This window comes from Homo sapiens, chromosome 1, assembly GCF_000001405.40.
Source record: "Homo sapiens chromosome 1, GRCh38.p14 Primary Assembly".
Classification (NCBI taxonomy): domain Eukaryota; kingdom Metazoa; phylum Chordata; class Mammalia; order Primates; family Hominidae; genus Homo; species Homo sapiens.
Window position 1 is genome coordinate 166,126,940 of NC_000001.11, and position 17,371 is coordinate 166,144,310.

The 17,371-nt window shown below is 44.2% G+C and overlaps 1 protein-coding gene across 4 annotated transcripts in view, besides 2 other annotated features; it reads right to left on the reverse strand.

The window, feature by feature from the left end:
* FAM78B (family with sequence similarity 78 member B) overlaps window positions 1-17,371 on the reverse strand; it is a 111,084-nt gene that overhangs the window by 71,022 nt on the left and 22,691 nt on the right. The gene's annotated exons all lie outside the window — the stretch shown is intronic.
* Window positions 1,465-1,966: an enhancer, noted in NCBI's record as "OCT4-NANOG hESC enhancer chr1:166097641-166098142 (GRCh37/hg19 assembly coordinates)". NCBI's record gives its function as "activates a minimal SCP1, AML or CMV promoter by ChIP-STARR-seq in naive H9 embryonic stem cells {active_cell/tissue: H9 hESC(naive)}" and the evidence as "EXISTENCE:reporter gene assay evidence [ECO:0000049][PMID:30033119]".
* Window positions 11,003-11,172: an enhancer, noted in NCBI's record as "experimental_966 CRE fragment used in MPRA reporter constructs". NCBI's record gives its function as "activates a minimal promoter by MPRAs in K562 erythroleukemia cells, with activity observed for both the introgressed and non-introgressed 1:166107264 variant alleles {active_cell/tissue: K562}" and the evidence as "EXISTENCE:reporter gene assay evidence [ECO:0000049][PMID:34662402]".

Sequence of the window (17,371 nt, forward strand, 5' to 3'; positions counted from 1 at the left end):
AACCAACTTAGGCACAGTAGGACCTAAGACTCAGATATTTGTGATCTGGAAGGAATCCAAGAGATCTCACCTGATTCTGTTATGGTAGAAGGAATAAAAGATTTTGAGGCTGAAGGCTGGGTCTTTCTCTCTCTTACTGGGTGACATATAATGTTAAACTTTCTGAATGTCAGTATCCTCACCTGAACAATGGAGAAAATCACTCCTGCTTTACAGGGTTGTGAAGATTGAAATGTATGCATGTCCAAGGGCTTTGAAAAGTGCTTGCAGTTCCTCTTTCATTTCCTACCACTTCCCCAGCTTTTGGCAGCTGCAATCACTGACAATCCATCTCCAAGTTCAATTCTGCCCTAGACAGAGACTGCATATATATTGGCTGCCTCCACCCCAATCACCACCAGTCCAGGAGGGAGCTTGGAATTAAGTCTTTCTCCAGACTTTGAGCAGAAGGGTTTACCTACGACTGTGGAAGACCACCTCCCTTTTTGTCTCTATTACATGGAGAGTCCAACTTCCTTCCAGGGGACTCAGGATCTGGTGCTTGAGGAGTCTCTAACCTTGAGACTCTGCAGTCCCTTTTCTACCAACTGGGGCCTACTGTATGTGCTCACAGCTCTGTTTAAAGTGTTAGGCACATATTAGGTGCTCAATAAATAGCTGTTATTGATAATAGTACTAGTAGAAATTGAATTTGTTGCTACCAAAAATGTATTGCCAGTTTGAACAGATGTTGGTAAAGGAAAAGTTGGTGATGAAAAGAGAAAGACAAATTTAGTTCAAAAATGTGTCTGACTGCTACTGTGTGTCTGTAGCAGGCGGAGGGGGTGGATGCAGTGAAACAAACACACCAAGGTCAAAGAGCACACAGACCACTGCTGAGGTTAACCCAAAGGCTAAGGATGGTACCAAGATCACACCTCACCTGCAATAGCCCTGGTCCATCGGGTGGCAAATGGATCCACACATAATTACTTGGCACACACTGACGATTATTTTAGAAGTAGCAGATATAAAACATAGAGCCACCATGTCAGACAAGATATTTTGCTAGTTGATAAAAACCACCTATGAAATTGGCCTCAGTAGTATAAGCTTTATTGTAGGAGCACTGGAAAACTTATAGTAAATAAAAGCCTAAAACATAGGAAGTGAAGGAAATGTGGAAACTGAGAAATAGGAGAGCTAAGCCAACAAAAGTAATTCTGACACCCTATTACCTATAGGAGCTAAACTTTTCTTCTTTGCAGTTCATCTCCTTTTATTCCTCTTTTATTTATTCATTCATTTTATACTTTCCTCATTAATTTTATACATTTATTTCATTCCTCCTTTATTTATTCCTCACTCCACAAAGGCCATAATGAGCACTCAATGGACTGGAGGAAGCCTGCAGCAAGAGAAAGAAGAGATGCAAAGGGCCATGGCAGAAGTCAGCAGGTGGACAGAGCCTGGGCTGGCAGTCAGACACCTGGGGTCTGGTCCTTGCACTGGCACTGAATCACATCCCTCCCTCTCTGCACTCTGTCCCTTATAAAGTAGGCAGTTAACACCTGAATTAGTTTTCACTGTGACAACTGAATGCGCTAATGTTGGTGAAAATGCCTAATTGTGAAAGGCTATCCCCATGTAAATCACTGTTCTTTGGTTGTAAGTCAGAAAATAGAGGAGAGAAGGTTTCACAGCTGGATACCACTGCTAACATTCACAAGCTGAAGCCAAGGGAGGTTTGGTCTTCGGGCATCTCTTTCCACTTTCCCACTGGGAGAGAACATGGCATTGAGTCTGTGAGAGACAGTGGGTGAGGCAGTATGACTTGGTTCCCTATGGCAGACCCACTGACACATGGAGCATCTCTTTGGCTGGTTAGTAGATAAATATTAATGACTAAATATGTATGCAGGGTAGAAGATAGATGAGTGTCCTGGGAGCCATTACTTTGATTGTCCCTTCTTAGATGCATTTAAGGATCTCAATATCTTAATTGTATAGAGTGCTGGAATGAAATAATAGAAAGCATGGGAGGAGGTGAAGCAAGGTTCATGGGAGGAAAAACAGACCAAAGTTGGGTCACCTGCTGGGGGGCCAAGATGCGAATGTGATTGAGTTGTCCCTGAGAACATAAATGTGGGGATCCTGCTCACATCCTCAAGAGTCCAGGCTATGCTTCTCTGTCTGGGTGTGTGAGCAGTGGCAGAAGGCCCAGCTGTGCCAATTCAGTGCCCAGAGCCCCTGCTGTGGGCGCACTCCTGTGTATATAGATTTAGAGCATCCCAGTGTATTGTTAGAATATTAGGAAAAAGCAGCATATGGCATGTGCTCCGCATGCAATTCTGCTCCTGCTGTTAACTTAGTTAAATCCAAAGTCTGATTCTTTCTGCTTATAAAAAGTGCTTTGCACAGGAACCAAAGCCCCAGGCTGAGTTGCTTTTCTTTTCTTTTTTTCTTACTGTTATTTGTTGAGGGCCATATAAATAGTCCTTAAACGATAAATGGATTCAAGAAGCCCATCTCTGCAATGAACAAAGCATCAAGCAAACACTCATGTGCCTTTTCTCCCAGGAAGTGTGTGAGACCTTTTCAGGCATGGATGTGGATGAATTTAGGAAACCCTCAATTTTAATGTTTTACCTTGGCCCTTCTCCAGTGCTCGAACTTCCTGATTCCTGGTTCCTCCTCTTGTCTTCTCCTGTTCTATTCTGGGAAACCCTTTTCTCTGAGCTCCAGAGTCAAAATTGTAGTCCTCTCGTCCTCTTCCCTTTCTTCACCTTCACAGACCCTGCTGCTTCTTCTCCTGCACTTTCTCTTCCATTAACCTCATCCTCCCTTCTCCTACCACAATCACTCTATTCAGGTCCCCAAGCCACCTTGTGCTGGCCTCTCCTTACTCTAATCCATTGCCACATGACCCTCTTCAACACAGCTATGGCCATGCCATGTCACTGCTAAATTAGGGACAATGAACACATTTGGCATTCCAAGCCTCCGTAGACTGATCACAAGGTCTTATCTCTTGCTACCTTCTCATCTAATCCTATGTGCTTTCTACCCTGGGTCACTGCTCCCTCTGATTCAAGCCCCTTCAGGCTATACCAGCCTATCTCTGTCTACTGAAACCCAAACATCACCTCCTCTGTGAAGTGCTTCCTCTCTGACACCTGAGCATGCCTTTCTGGTCTTAGTCATTTCTGTGCTTAAATATTCCTCCCATGAGAATGTGTCATCCATGAAAACAGGCACTGCTACTCACCTCTGTGGCTCTTCACACACAGTAAATATCAAGCCCATTAGAAAAGGACAAACTTACCTGAATCGCATGATGTGAAAGCATGGACGTAACAAGTCACTTGCTGGACCACATAGGGATGTGGATAGAATATGCTGTTTCTTCTTTCTGCTTCTACGTAAGTATAGACAATCAGAGAAGACTGGAATGCCAGAGAAGGAGGAAGACAACCATGATGTCTTATATTTTCACACAGTTATTTAATGTATCCTGCTAATCCTATGAGTTAATGCAGTGGTTCTCAACTGGGGACAATTCTGCCCTTCAGAGGACACCTGGCTATGTCTGGGAACACTTTTGGTTGTCACAGCTGGAAGGTACTACTGGCATTTAGTGGGTAGAGGCTAGGTATGCTGCTAACATCCTACAATACAGAGGACAGCCCTCTGCTGCCACTCCAACAAAGAACTAACCAGGCCAAAATGTCAATAGTACTGCTATTGAGAAACCCTGAATACTTATTAATTAAAATAAGTATTATTAATCAAGTTGAAAAAACTGACAAACAAGTGAGGTGGATTGCCCAAGATAGAACAACTATTTAAGTGGGAGATACAGGCCTAAGCCCCGGTTCCCTGACTCCCAGACCTGTGCTCTTTCTCCTGCATTGTGTGTACATCTGCACAGCCAGACACTGTGGCAGAACTCAGAAGAAACAGAACCAACAAAGAATGCTGTCATTACTAAGCTTGGCCGATGTCACAAGGCTGCGGGCCCAGGAGGTAGAATAACTTGGTGTATCTGCATCTCCCCAGGTGCTTTTTTTTTTTTTTTTTTTTTTTGATACAAGAGTCTTGTTCAACATGTTGCCCAGGCTAGAGTGCAGTGGTGCAATCTTGGCTCACTGCAACCTCCACTTCCCAGGTTTAAGCAATTCTCCTGCCTCAGCCTCCTGAGTAGCTGGGACTACAGATGCGTGCCACCACACCCGGCTAATTTTTGTATTTTTAGTAGAGATGGGGTTTCGCCATGTTGGCCAGGCTGGTCTGGAACTCCTGACCCCAAGTGATCTGCCCGCCTCAGCCTCCCAAAGCACTGGGATTACAGGAGTGAGCCACAAGAGTGAGCCACAGTGCCCAGCCCCCTAGGTGCTTTTTAATAGTGTCTCCAAATTATGTAAGACAGTGAGAGGCAATGTCAGAAGCCCAGCAGGCAGCTAAGGCCCATCCCAGTACACCAGGCAAAACTGCTCCAGAGTTAAAGCAACTCCACTGTTCCACGTTACAGAGGGGGTTAAAGGAGAGCAAACTACCTCACAGTAGTGGGCAGCTGAACCCTCCAACAGACAGTGACTTTACTGAGACCAAGCAACAGCAACGTTAGTTTTCCTGGTACGTGTGTCTGTGAGAAGACCTATCTTAGGGGGCTCTGCTGGGTAGAACTGGGCTGCATGAAGAATAAAATTTGACTGATTTGGGCTCAATATGAAGAAGACTGGGGAGAACTATCTAAAAGGGCACAAAGTTCCATGTCATTGGGGTTCAGGACACTGAGTGTCCCTTAGAAGAAAATAGTAAACATATTTTTACTATGTTTTATGAAAAAAAGTAAGGTTACGTGGCTATGCACTAGTTGGAGGTCCTGAACTGAAGACCCCAGCGGCAGGGCTGTCTAGGGGTGGGAGATGGAACCTGAAAAAATCCTGCCCTCACATGGCAGAAAATAGTCAGCTGGGGGCAGAAGACCCAGGTCTTAAATTGCAGTGACAGTGGTGTACATGCATTGCTCTCCCTCTGATGAAAGCTGTTGACTTCAGTTGAGAGAGACTTCTGCTGCAATCTGAGGCTGAATGTCAGGAAGGCCATATAAAAGGCAAGGCCTAAGCACAATTTTCTCCAATTTTAAAAACTTGTCAGCAGATACCTCTACAGTAAGAGCAACAGGCTATGAAGACTGGAAACATATTAGCTGTCATCATAAAATAAAGTAAATATGACATGTTTAGTGATGTCCTATCATTACTATTGTGTAACACCAGAATTAAGCAGTTCACATAATAGCTGAAAGGATATGTTTTGGTTTTTCTGTCCTCTCTTTGCTACCCAGAAGAGTGGTTCCAAATCTCCCCTCTCCCCTAACCCTCGCGGTGTGAAGAACATGACACACTGGACTTGACTAGCAAAATCTAGCTTGCGATTTAACGGTGTGATCCTGGGAAAGTCATGTAATTTTTATTTTGCAGTTTCCTTATCTGCAAAATGGGGATAATATTACTGCTTACCTTTATTGGGTAATTGTTGAGGATTAAGTGAGATGTTTGTGAAGTGCAAAAAAACCCAGGTGTGTGCAAAGTAAGTGGCTTGTGAATGTCAACCATTATGACAAAGGGCTTTACCATATGCCATCTCCCTTCTTGTACAGCAGTGGGAGATTCCCTCCATCCTCCCAATGAATGAATCTCCACCTAAGTATTGCTCTCTTTTGCCAAATCATTCCACCTAATTAGACAAAAATTTTCATGTTAGGATGAAGTCACCAAGTTCAAAAGCCACTTGCTTCTAGTTGTTTTCTGTGAGGAAACCACTACAAAGATAATACTACATCAGCTAAGTGTACCAGAAAGGCCAACTTTGTTATTTTATGCCCCATATTGTTAGATAAACAGTGACTTGAGTTACAGTACCAGCTTATGAGTGTGACAAAACTGCTTCATAGTATCTGCTGGTTTCTCAAGATGAACCATGATTAAAATGATAAGGGCAGTTTGTAGGGGTGTAACTGCCATATTTATGCCCTCTGGGATATGAGAACAATCTCTGGGGCTGATCTAAGGTTATCAGCAGCACTGAGACTTTGTTGAGGAATTGGAGCTTTCAACAACGAGGAAAGGTATGAGTTGTTCATTAAACTGGTAGGATCTTGGCAGGGCAAGGAGATTGCTGACTCTGAGAATAGCAGAGTGGCCCTGCTTTTCTCTTTGAGCACATTATTTCTGCTAGAGGTTAGACCCCAGTGTTTTTCTACTGGCTTCCTGGAGGAAGAATAAGGGCTGAGCTGTGCACAGCTGCATATCCTGACCTAGCAGCTTCATGGTAGTACCGGAAACTCCTCACAAGGTCCACTCTGGTCTTCCTCAAGAGCTGGTTATGGGAATTCTCAGGAGAAGAGAGGATACCTGTTATTGTGTAACTTTAGGTTTAGAGTTACATTTTCCTAAAGACAGATGTATGTTAGAGGTAGAATTTCTTAGACAAAACCAAACCTGCAATTTGCATATTCTGCCAGCAGGTGACAGCGATATGAAACAAAACACAAGATGTCTTTGCTTCATGTGGGGATCTTTCTGCAAATCCCACAAATGTGTAACTGTTAATTTCAATGATTTATTAAAATATTTGCAACTTTTAAATAATATTAATCTGTAAAGTTGAGCAATCTTAAAAAAAAAAAAGAACCGTAAATATAATGTGAAATAGTGAATCTGATTTTTGGTGGTTAGAAATGTATTCCAGTGCTAATCTTATGCCTAATTAATTAGAGCAGGTCTTTGCACACCTGTGGGCTTCAGGCTACGGCCTTTCTCAGGCCGTCTGCTTCAATTGCACTGGCTTCTCCTTCTCTGATGGCCACTCGCGAGGTGCTTACCATTATAATTGCCGTGTTTTGGAACTCCCATCTCCTTTCTCTAAACATTATTATTTATTGAGCCCTTACTTTATACGAGGAACTAAGTGAGATAACTTCATGCCACTTGTCTCATTTCATCCTCATCACCCCAAAGGTTACATGTACTTACCTCCATTTTACCAACGGGAGACTGAGAGTCAGTGAGTGACTGAGCCCAGACCTGCCTAACTCCCACCGTATGTTCTCCCCACTACCTCCCTCCTCAGGTTCAGAGAAAAGAAAGTTTGGGGGGTTTCCCCATGCTGTCAGGGGTTTTTCTGCACTGTCCCTACAACATTCAGTTTCTCCTGTCAGAAGGGAGAAATGCTCTACTTTATCCTTTTTGGAAAATAAGGCAAAGCAGTCCCCCATCCCACCCCCGACCCCACTATTCTTTTATTCTAGGGACTCCCTGAATGAGTGTGCATATAATATTTATTTACTGATCCACAGTATTTTGCTGCCAATGGGGCCTTGGAAGGCATTTAATCCAACTCCCTTTCTTTGCAGAAAAATGAAGCAGAAGTGCAGTGTTGCCCCTAGTCAAGCAACTAGCTAGTGGCAGAGGCAGGACTGCAGCTCAGGTTTCCCATCTTATGGTTGGGCTGAGTACCCCCTAGCTTTTCCAAATCATTTGAGAGAGTTCTGAAGAAGTGGCCATTTGAAAGACACCAGAACATTAAAGTAGTAATAATAATAATAATAATAATAATAAGTATAAGGTTAAACTGACCTAAAAAGACTGGAGCATAAATAGGTAAAAAGGTTAAACTGGCTTAAAAATTTTGACTGGAGCATATGAATTTAATAATACCTCAGTAGGTCAGACCAGCATTCATCCACCTAACATTCTGTTCCTGATTGTGGTGTCACAAGGCTCACCGGAGAATATGGGGGATCCATTCGTAACGATAACTTAAAACGATTAGAAAATGCTCTCTAATGTCCCTTTAATAACTCAATTTATATCTGTCATCCATGATGCTCTCTAAAGGTTCGTGTCTAGAATCTATTGATAATTTCAACACATACTGTTTCTAGGAGTAATGATTTTCACACATTTACTACCTACAGCGTAAAGTACTGCTTCCTTTTATTTGTCCTAAAACTATCAAGCTCTTTGGCTCTGCTCAGCAGGGCAGGATGAGAAGCCTTTAACATCTTTCACCTGAAGAATTATTTTTAAAGAAGCTAATTAAATGTACAATGAAAACAGGTATGTTACTATGCAAACACATTAATTAGGTCAATTGTGAGGTCCCTACACGTTCCCTGAAAAAGTTCAGTCCACCTACAGAGGTTAATTTTCCCCAGATGACTTCCAGCTAGAACTACTTCCATAGGAATTTTCTCTAAACAGCTGTATCAACACGGCTTATAACTGCCTCAGAAGAAAAAGTGAAAAAAAGCAAGACCAGTGGGCAGGAATGTATAAACTATAAAGTATAACAGCAATGACATCTTGAAAGCACATTCTTTTGTTTTCAAAGTCCAAAACTCTGAGAACAATTCCTCTTTGGACAAAGGGTACATTGGTAATGGTTAACCAACTCCAGCATCTAAAGCTAAAGCTGGGAGATGGCATAGCAGGAAGCATCATCCTGATGATGATTCACATCGCACTACCTGAATCCTTCCACATCAGGATTTACAATGAAAGCGTGTATCATGTATTGCTCCTTGTCTGTTTCACTAGCAATAAGTAACAAGATTCCATTGCTCTTCTACTCAGTCCAGTAGCATGAGACATGTTGGGTGAAGACATTCTCCTTAAAGATTCAAAGAAAGGACATAGATAGATAGCACTCTGAGTATTCTTTTGCAGGTGGGGAAAAGGAGAAAGAACCAAACTAGAGAGAATTCCAAATGGAGCTGTTTCCACCATGGTCTCAGGGTTCTGGACTACCTGCCCCAAACAACACAGGAGCAGCCATAGCACTTTTAACTCAACACCATGACTTTGTCAACTACGGAAGGGAGGTCTATGCCGAAAGAATTTTTCTTCCTCTGAATAGTCACATTCTGTGTGTGTTCTGCAAAGATGGTGCAAAAGTTAACAATCCAAGGTATTTTAGAATCAGTACAGACCAGACTTATTTTCCAGAAGTTGGTTTTTGACATATTAACAAGAGATCTAGTCTCCTAAGACCTAGAATATCCCCAGGGGTTCCTGCATTCTCAACATGAAGCAGAAGGAACATTGCAAGCCTCAATGCTAACTTTTTTCAAACAGTTCTTTTAAAGGGGACTTGTCACTCATGAGTATTCTAGGTGGGCTAAGTACAGTGTCTTAAACAAACCTGCCAGTAATTTGCTTGTCTGTGGGACCAGCTGGGAACTAGCAAAGGACACTGAGGATGTAACAGAACAAGACTGTATGAATTCTGATGCATGGAGGGTGTCAGAGATTTAATAAGAGTTCAATCTTTTAGCCATGCCTGAATTCACAGCATGGCTTTTTCCAAGAAGTGCCAAGTGCTTTAAAGATGACACACTAATCTTCACAGAGCCTGGGTGATGGAAAGCCTGAGCCTGCAGGGACAGGGTGTGAGGGTTGGGGAAGCTGACTTCTAGCTGTGTGCTGGCCCCCATGAGCGGATCAGTGACGTAGGTAACAGAGCAGCCATCTCCAGATGCCTTATCTCTCTGCCCTCACAGCTGCTGCTGTCTCTGCCAACTCTCATTCCAGTGTTATTATGAACCAGGACCCCTTCCTCTTCCCCTCTTTACAACAGCATAACTTTACCGATAAGTAATGGCAAAAAAATAAAGGCACCAAAGAGCAGATGAACAAGTAAATGGAAACAGGATGATCTACCAAAAAGAAAAAGCAATGAACTCCTGGAAGGCAACGTTATGAGATGAAAAAATCCACCTCTACCTGAGGCTCCAGGCTACCTTGCCCCTAACTGGGCCGGTGACTCTGATTTAGAGCAGTTGCAGCAACACAGCTTGCCTGGATGGTCAATAGTCTAGGCTCCTGCTCAGTTCCTGAGAGGGAAGAGGGTCTAGAAGATGCCTGATGGGGAGCTCAAGTTGCTGTGTGTTAGCATAATGCCTGGCACACAGTTGTCAAGCACTGACGTCTGCTAACTGAATGCACTCGTATGGCTCATAACTATCATGTGAGGTAGGTGTTATTACATTCTGTGAGGATACTAAGCTCCTAATGGAAAGAGAAGGGGCCTGAACCTAGATCTTATTTTAGTCCTTTACTTTTCCTACAGATCTATAGAAAAGGAGTGTTCCAGGATGACGTGATGTAGAGAGCATGAGGTTGGAAGGGAGGAGACCAGTTTTCTATGCCCAGAATGCTAGACTGGAAAAAAACTTGGAGAGCTAGTTGAGGAATGGCAAGCAATTTCCTTTTATGTGCTAACCCTGATTTTCAGCAGTGGTTGCTGGCTCCCAGGAGCCCTGTACTGAGGACTCTGGGCTGCATCTGGCTCAGCAGGACAGTGAGCTATGATCAATTAGCCATGTCTGCCACAGGCATGCAAAGGACTGAAAGGACTAAAGATGTCCACCATCCGCCATATTTTCTTTTTCTAGTCCAACCTATTTATTTTATAGATAATAAAATTAAGCATCAGAAAACAGATGTATTCTAAGTTACATAGCAGGACAGTAGCTGATATGTGAACCCAGGATTCTTGACTGTAAGTCCAGTACTTTTTTTTTTTTTAACTATGTTGGCTATCCTTGTCCTAATACTAGTTATACTATAGCTCCACAAGTATGGATAAATGTGCTCCCTGTGACTGAGTTTCCTCACCTGCAGATCAGAGGAAATAATTCCTATTTTATCTATCTCACAGAAATACTGACAATCAAATAAAATATTAGAATTCCAGAACTTTGAGTTCTGAGGCCATGTTCTTGCTGTTGTACTATGATGTTATTAGTAAATAGATGTGGAAACACTGAAAAGCATAAGCAGCACTACAAAATGCAGAATAGTACTATGGGAAGTAAGGAGTCTGGGCTCTATCTAGACTCTGCTTCAATTGCTCCATACCTGCAGGCTTCCTGTCTACATCCCCACATGCAGGAATGCAGGAGGGAACCAAGGTTAACAGCAGAAACAGACCCTGGTCCCCCTGTAGGCAGCTGGTCTCAGGCATGTCTCAGAACAGAGCAGGTGGCTGGAGGCAAAAAATACTGGCAGGGCAGGGCTTCTGCCCTCTTAGATCTCTCTAGCCCTCCTTCCTGCTCTCACAGTGGGCATCCCACTAGTCAATGAGTATGAACTTGTGTTTGGAACCTGGGACACTGCACCTAGACTCTCACCTTTACAGAAAGAGGATGACGGCAGTAGGACCTAGAGGGGACGGAGGCTGGGTTTCTGGGACTTCAGTTGGTGGTTTCCTCATGTCTGTCTCCTACTTCTGCCCCTCCTCACTCCCCTCATCAAAGGCTTCATCCCCAACTCTCCTGTTCTCTGTCTCCTCCTTCTCTTCCTCATGACTCACTCTCTCTGGTCCTTCAAGGAAGTTGCCCACCCCCTGTGTTTCTCTTTCTTCATCCTCAATATCACAGGGATCTCAAGAAAAAGCAACCCCTCCACCCAGACCCCCACCACAATGCATGTTTCTAAAGTACTATTTTTTAGGTGCCTTTTCATAAGAACAGCCCACTGCATCTACCTTATCTCTCTTTTTAGAGTGACAGTTACCATTGAGAGGAGGTCATGATTTGGCTTAGTGGTGTTAGAATAAAGAGATCACACATCTTCGCTAGCCTTAGATTCATGGGATTGCTGGGCTAAAAAAACCTAACAAGGTCATTTAGTCTAAGCAGCCACTGGAAGCAGATTTCTAAGTACTAAACGTATTCCTGAACACAAAGAGCTCAATAGTTCACAGGCAGCTCGTTTTGAGGGTCCAAGAAGCTCCTCTCCATTGTGTTTGTTTTTGAATTGTTTCTGTTCACTAGAATGTCAACTCCATAAAGGCAACAAGATTTTTGTCTGTTGTATTCATTACTGCATCATTATTGCTTAGAATAGTGCCTTGCACATGGCAGGTACTCAAATATTTGTTGAATGAATTAATAATTGGTCTTATTTATAACCTGTGGGGCCTTTCAAGATAATCTAATCCTTTTCATCTTCTACATGACAACCCCTCAAATAATTCCAGACAGTTGTCATGTTCCCTGAGTTGTCTCCCTCCCTGAATATTTTATGAAGAATTTCCAGATCCTTTGTCACATTGGGGTGTTCTCCGAACGTACTCCAGAATTACAAAGCAGCAAGGGGGACACCAGAAATTTTTCTAGCTAGCCCACACTCTCATTTTACAGACAGGAAAATGGAGGTCCATAAAGGTATAGCAGCTTTGTTAGAAGGGGAAGCCTAGACTCAGGGTTTTATCTAGTTGGAGATGAGCCAACATAAGAAACTTTGTAGGCAAAACAAATCCCAGACCAATACATTTCCCATCATCTTGATGCTGTCCCTATCAGTAGAAGAATTCCAAAACAAGTGTCTCCAAGACCAAACCACTGTAGTTTTACATGCAAGCAGACTCTTTATTCATTCAACAGGCATTGAGAGTACTGTATGTGCTATGAACTATGCTGAATTTTGGGGATACAGAGTTGAAACAAAAGTCTCTACACACTTGATACTTACAGTCTAGTGGAGACACCCGAGACAATAATTAAAATTCTATAAAATGGCCATAGTGATAGAGGGGCAGAGTCGAGAGGGAACAGAGAAGGAGCCCATAAGGCAGCCTTGGGGAGGTGGTGAAGTCTTCCTGGAGGAGGAGGTGGCATTTGAACATCAACAAGACCACACGCATCTGGGATGGGTTTGTGACTGGCTTCAGCACCAACTCTAACACATAGTTCTATAGCTGGCAGAGGAGGCTGCAGGGCTGGTCTTAACCAGACTAATGAATCCCAAAGGCTGTTCTTCCTGTGGACACGATCAACCAGGTCTGTGCTGCCCCAGAAACAGCACAGTATGGTCTTTTAACCAGAGAGCTGAACCAGAGAGCTCATAAGAGTTGCTTCCTCATGAAAAAATCCAAGTTTGGCTGTCCTGCTGTGAGGTTGGAGGGAAGAGGCTGGGCTTTCCCACATGCAAAGCCAGGTGGCAGCCTCCCTACTACCACCACCAGAGGAACCTTGGAGGAAGGATGTGACAAAGGCCACGCAGGATGAGGGAGAGGGTAAAGGCAGGTTTCTGCAGACCTTTTCAGAAGACTGCTTCAAATGAGCAGGAACGAGCTTAGAGCACACGTTTCTGAAGCCTGCAGCAGGGCTAGACTCTTCTAAGGAATAAGATGGCCTTTCTAACAGTGGCCTGGACATTCCAGGAGCAGTAGCGTTGCTCTCTACCCCAGCAAGGCTTCAAATGTGCAGGCTACACATTCACTCTTTCCCGTAGCACAATCCACCGCCAACATGCGGCTTCTAAGCGTCCTGGAGAATGAAGGCTGACTTGCCAGAAAAAGTGAGCCCACAAATGGATGAGGAATCAGCCCCAGCTTGATTGCTGCCTGGGAGGATTTGGATTGGATGGTGGAAGTGAATATGTAAACCGAACTCCAGATATTGTTGGGGGCCAGAAACCATGGTCATAAATCTGGGAAGCCAGACAACAGCATTACAGGGCTTCGGGCCTTCAGGAAACGATAGTTAGGATGACCAATAAATCAGACTTGACTTCTTAACTGAGCCAGAGCAGCGAGAAAGGCACCATCATCTCTGCTTAAGGGAAAGATGATAAAGCTAATCCAAAGGAGACTTCTGTCTTTTGTGAGGCTGCTGATGCTGAATAAGCCATCAAGGCGTGCCTCAGTTTTCCTTACTGCAAATGGTGGGATAAGTGGCTGATTACTAGAAAATAGTGTGGTTTGTTGAGGTTCTCTAAGAAAACACTTGAGGCAAAATACAACAAAGAAGCCTTTTTTGGGGGTATGATTTGTATCCTCCCTGATCACTGGTCTACCATTGATCTGTACTATGGAGAGGAAGTGACTTGAAGTTTACAAAATGGTTTTCCATAATTCTGGGGCATGGGGCAGCAGCAGAAGCTGCTCTCAAAACAACCCTGTGAGGCAGGTAATATTATCATTAGTGCTCAGAGGAACCTGGCAACTTACTTGGAGTTCATAGCCAGCAAACAGCAGAGCTTTGACTGCAATCCGGTCTTTAAACACCAAAGCCAGGCTGCTGCACTGCCTATGTAAACGAATGCAGCACAATTAGAGGGGCATTAATATATCAGAAATGCTCCCCTGACATTAAAGGCCAGGCCAGTGGGCAGGTGGAACCCTCACAAAGGGCTCACCTGCCGTAGTCCAGGAAATATATATGAAGTGCGTACTGGGGCAAGGTGCTGTGCTAGGTACTGGGGACAGCAATGTGCAACGTACATAGGTCTGATCTCTGCCCTCATGGTCTCTAGTGGAAGACATAGACAAGATGCATGTACAGTGAGACAAATGGTTGAGAGGGCAGGTGCCAACCCTGACCACACCAGAGGTTTGGGGACATAGAAATCTAAGTGGGTTTTACTCCAGTTATCACGCAAGATATTCCTCTCCCTGAACATCTTTATCATAGAGATCATTAAACAACTGAAAAAACAGTTTGGACTACTACTTCTTGTATATTCTTCACATAGTTTTGAAACTCCTTTGTCTAAGACAGATTTTCTTAAAGCTATTGTAACTGAGTGTTTACTATGTGCCGGTAGCTAGGCCCATAATAGGTACTGAACAGTTGTTAAACTAGTAAATGCAGAATCTTCAAAAAAGCTCTGCAAAGGAGGCATGTTCATACCCATTTTACAGATGAGTAAAGTGTATTCCAGCTTGGAGGTGATGGGAGGTACGTATCTATGTGAGGCCTGTCAAAGGCTGACTGATAGATAAGTGGCAGTTACCTCTGGTGGCTACCCAATGCACAGTCCATCACAGCTTGTGTTGGCTTTTGCATGGACACTGACAGATGCAAAGCTGTATGTGCCAAGAACAGACTAAGAGTGCCCTGGAACTGGAGTAGGGACAGTGCTCTGGGATGGATGACCATTCATCCATATCATCCAATGCTGGATGAGTACTCATCCATATCATATTGATATGGAGAAAGGGAGGAGGCAGGCTGAGAGATGCTGGTCCTGCAAAGTTGTGGTGTTCTCTCCTGGTCTTGGAAGGGCATGCCACCTGTGAGAGGTCCCAGGTGTCCTTGCCCTGAGCACAGCTCCTCAATGATCAGACTGGCTGTGAAGGTGAGTGGCATGGTGACCAGCCCTGCTCTGACTTGGGACAGTCTGCATGGAAGGGACAGCTGCCTTGTGGAGAGCTATACCCAGGCAGGTCACTAGGGGACATTATGCAATGGAAAACCATTATTGGGGAGTGGAGGGTTAGACTGCACTTAAAGGAGGTTCTAGTGTCTTGAACCACTAGGGTCTATTGCAGCTTGAGACTCTGCACCCAAAAATCTACTTCCAACCTAGACTCTCCCAGACTCTCCCTGTGCCCTAAGTCTTCTGGGTGACAGCTACCACCCAGGCCTGGGAAGACTGCACAGCTGAGGCTAGGACACGGGGCAGCAGCAGAAGCCTGAAGTCCACAGACAGAGTCAGTGGTGCATTAGCACCAGCACTTACTGAGCACTGGGCATTGACATATGTATGGTGCACAATGGGATTCCTCCCCTCAAGGATCTTGAGGTCTAAGTGGGAAAAGAGGAAGACTATTTTTATTTGAGGATTGACCACAAAACAAAGAAACTGGTTTCGTTTGTGATTTGAGGAATCATTTTCATTACTTCAGGTTTGGGTATAATCTTTATCTCTTCAACCAAATTATAAGTTCCTCAAGGGTGGAACCTTGTCTTCTAAGTCTCTTACCCTTACCACTGTAGCACATAAAAGGCCCTCTAGGCACTTTTTAAATGAAATGATGTACGGGTAATGGGTCGTAAAAAGTGGGCTAGTCTTAAATCTACTGAATACCACAGGCCTAGAAGGATGAATGGGTTGAAGGGTTAATTAAGAAGGAATTGTGCTCTTGCCCTGTGTCAGGGCACAGGGTGCAAACATGAGCAGCACATGGTTTCTTAGTTCAGGGAGCTCAGTCCAGAGAGGGCCATGGTTTGGTCAATGGTACAGTAGTGTAAGAGGCCATAGAGCCCAGTGGTTATGAGTGTAGACTCTGGAGCCAGATCATTTGGGTTCAAATCTCAGCTCTTAGGAGCTGTGAGATGTTGGGCAAATTAGGTAATTTCTCTATGTCTCAATTTCCTCATCTTTAAGTAGCCATAATAATGACAGTACCCAATATAGGGTTGTTGTGAGGATTAAATGAGTTAAAACATAAAATATTTGCAAATGTATTAACTATTAATATATAGTAGAGGCTGGGACAGTGGCAGGGAAGAGGCCTAATTCAGACTGGGGGAAGGGTGCCAGGGAGGGCTCTGGGGAGATGCACAGGTGTCTTCTAGGAGAGGAGAGGGTAAGCCTGGCTGGGGAACAGCATATTCAAAAGTCTAGAGGTATCACGGCTGGGAGCTACATGCCATGTGGTGTAGCTCTGCCCTAGTGCCAAGGAGAGACTGGCAGATGAAGACAGGCCAGAGATGTTTCAGAGATGTTTCTGGTTCCCTATCTAGGAAAGGTCAGGCCAACAGAGGCTTGGCATTACTTGCTAAGGCGTGTAAATTTCATCTTGAAGGGAATGGGGAACCTTAGGAGGCTTTTAAATAGGAGAGGGTGATATTATCAGCTTTCTATTCTGAGTTGCCTACTCGGGCTGTGGTGCAGAGGACAGGTGGTGGAGGGGAAGCATGTGGAACCAGGAGGAAGAGGGTCCTGATGGGAGGCCATGGCAGTAATGAAGGTGAGAGGCAGTGAGGGTTGCTCTAAGGAAGTGGGGTGGAGAGGGAAGCAGAGATCTGAGAAAGATCAAGAGGTTAAACAACAGAACTGCATATACTAAAACACCATAACTGACAATACATTGAGCCCTTAACCACGTGAGCCCCTGTGCCAAACACTTCGCATGGAGCAACTCTTTTAGTCTTTACCCAAACCCTATGAACCACAGTGTGTGTGAGGGTTGGGGGCAGGATGGGGAGGGAATGTCCCTCCTCCAGAATGTCCTTAGGAGCTGAAGGACAGATAGATGAGATACAAACTGCTAACACATCTGATGACAATAAAAAAGGAGGGTGGTTTTATTAAGGCGTAAGTAATGATGACGCATCCAAAATAGCTGACAAAAGGCACCAGAGAACTCCTGGGCCCAAATTAATGTGGTTCCAGTGACCAGGGTTCCCAGGGATGAAGGGCTTGGTGGGTGCCCACTTCAATTATTTAGGAGATGAACGCCAAACTCTAAATTTCCTGTCAGTCTGTTGTGTGTGTGTTAGCGTTTTCACAGATCCCTGCTCAGGCATTTGGACTGGGGAGAGCTGTGAGTAAGGCTGGGGAGTGGTGGTGGGGGGGTGGTCTAGAAA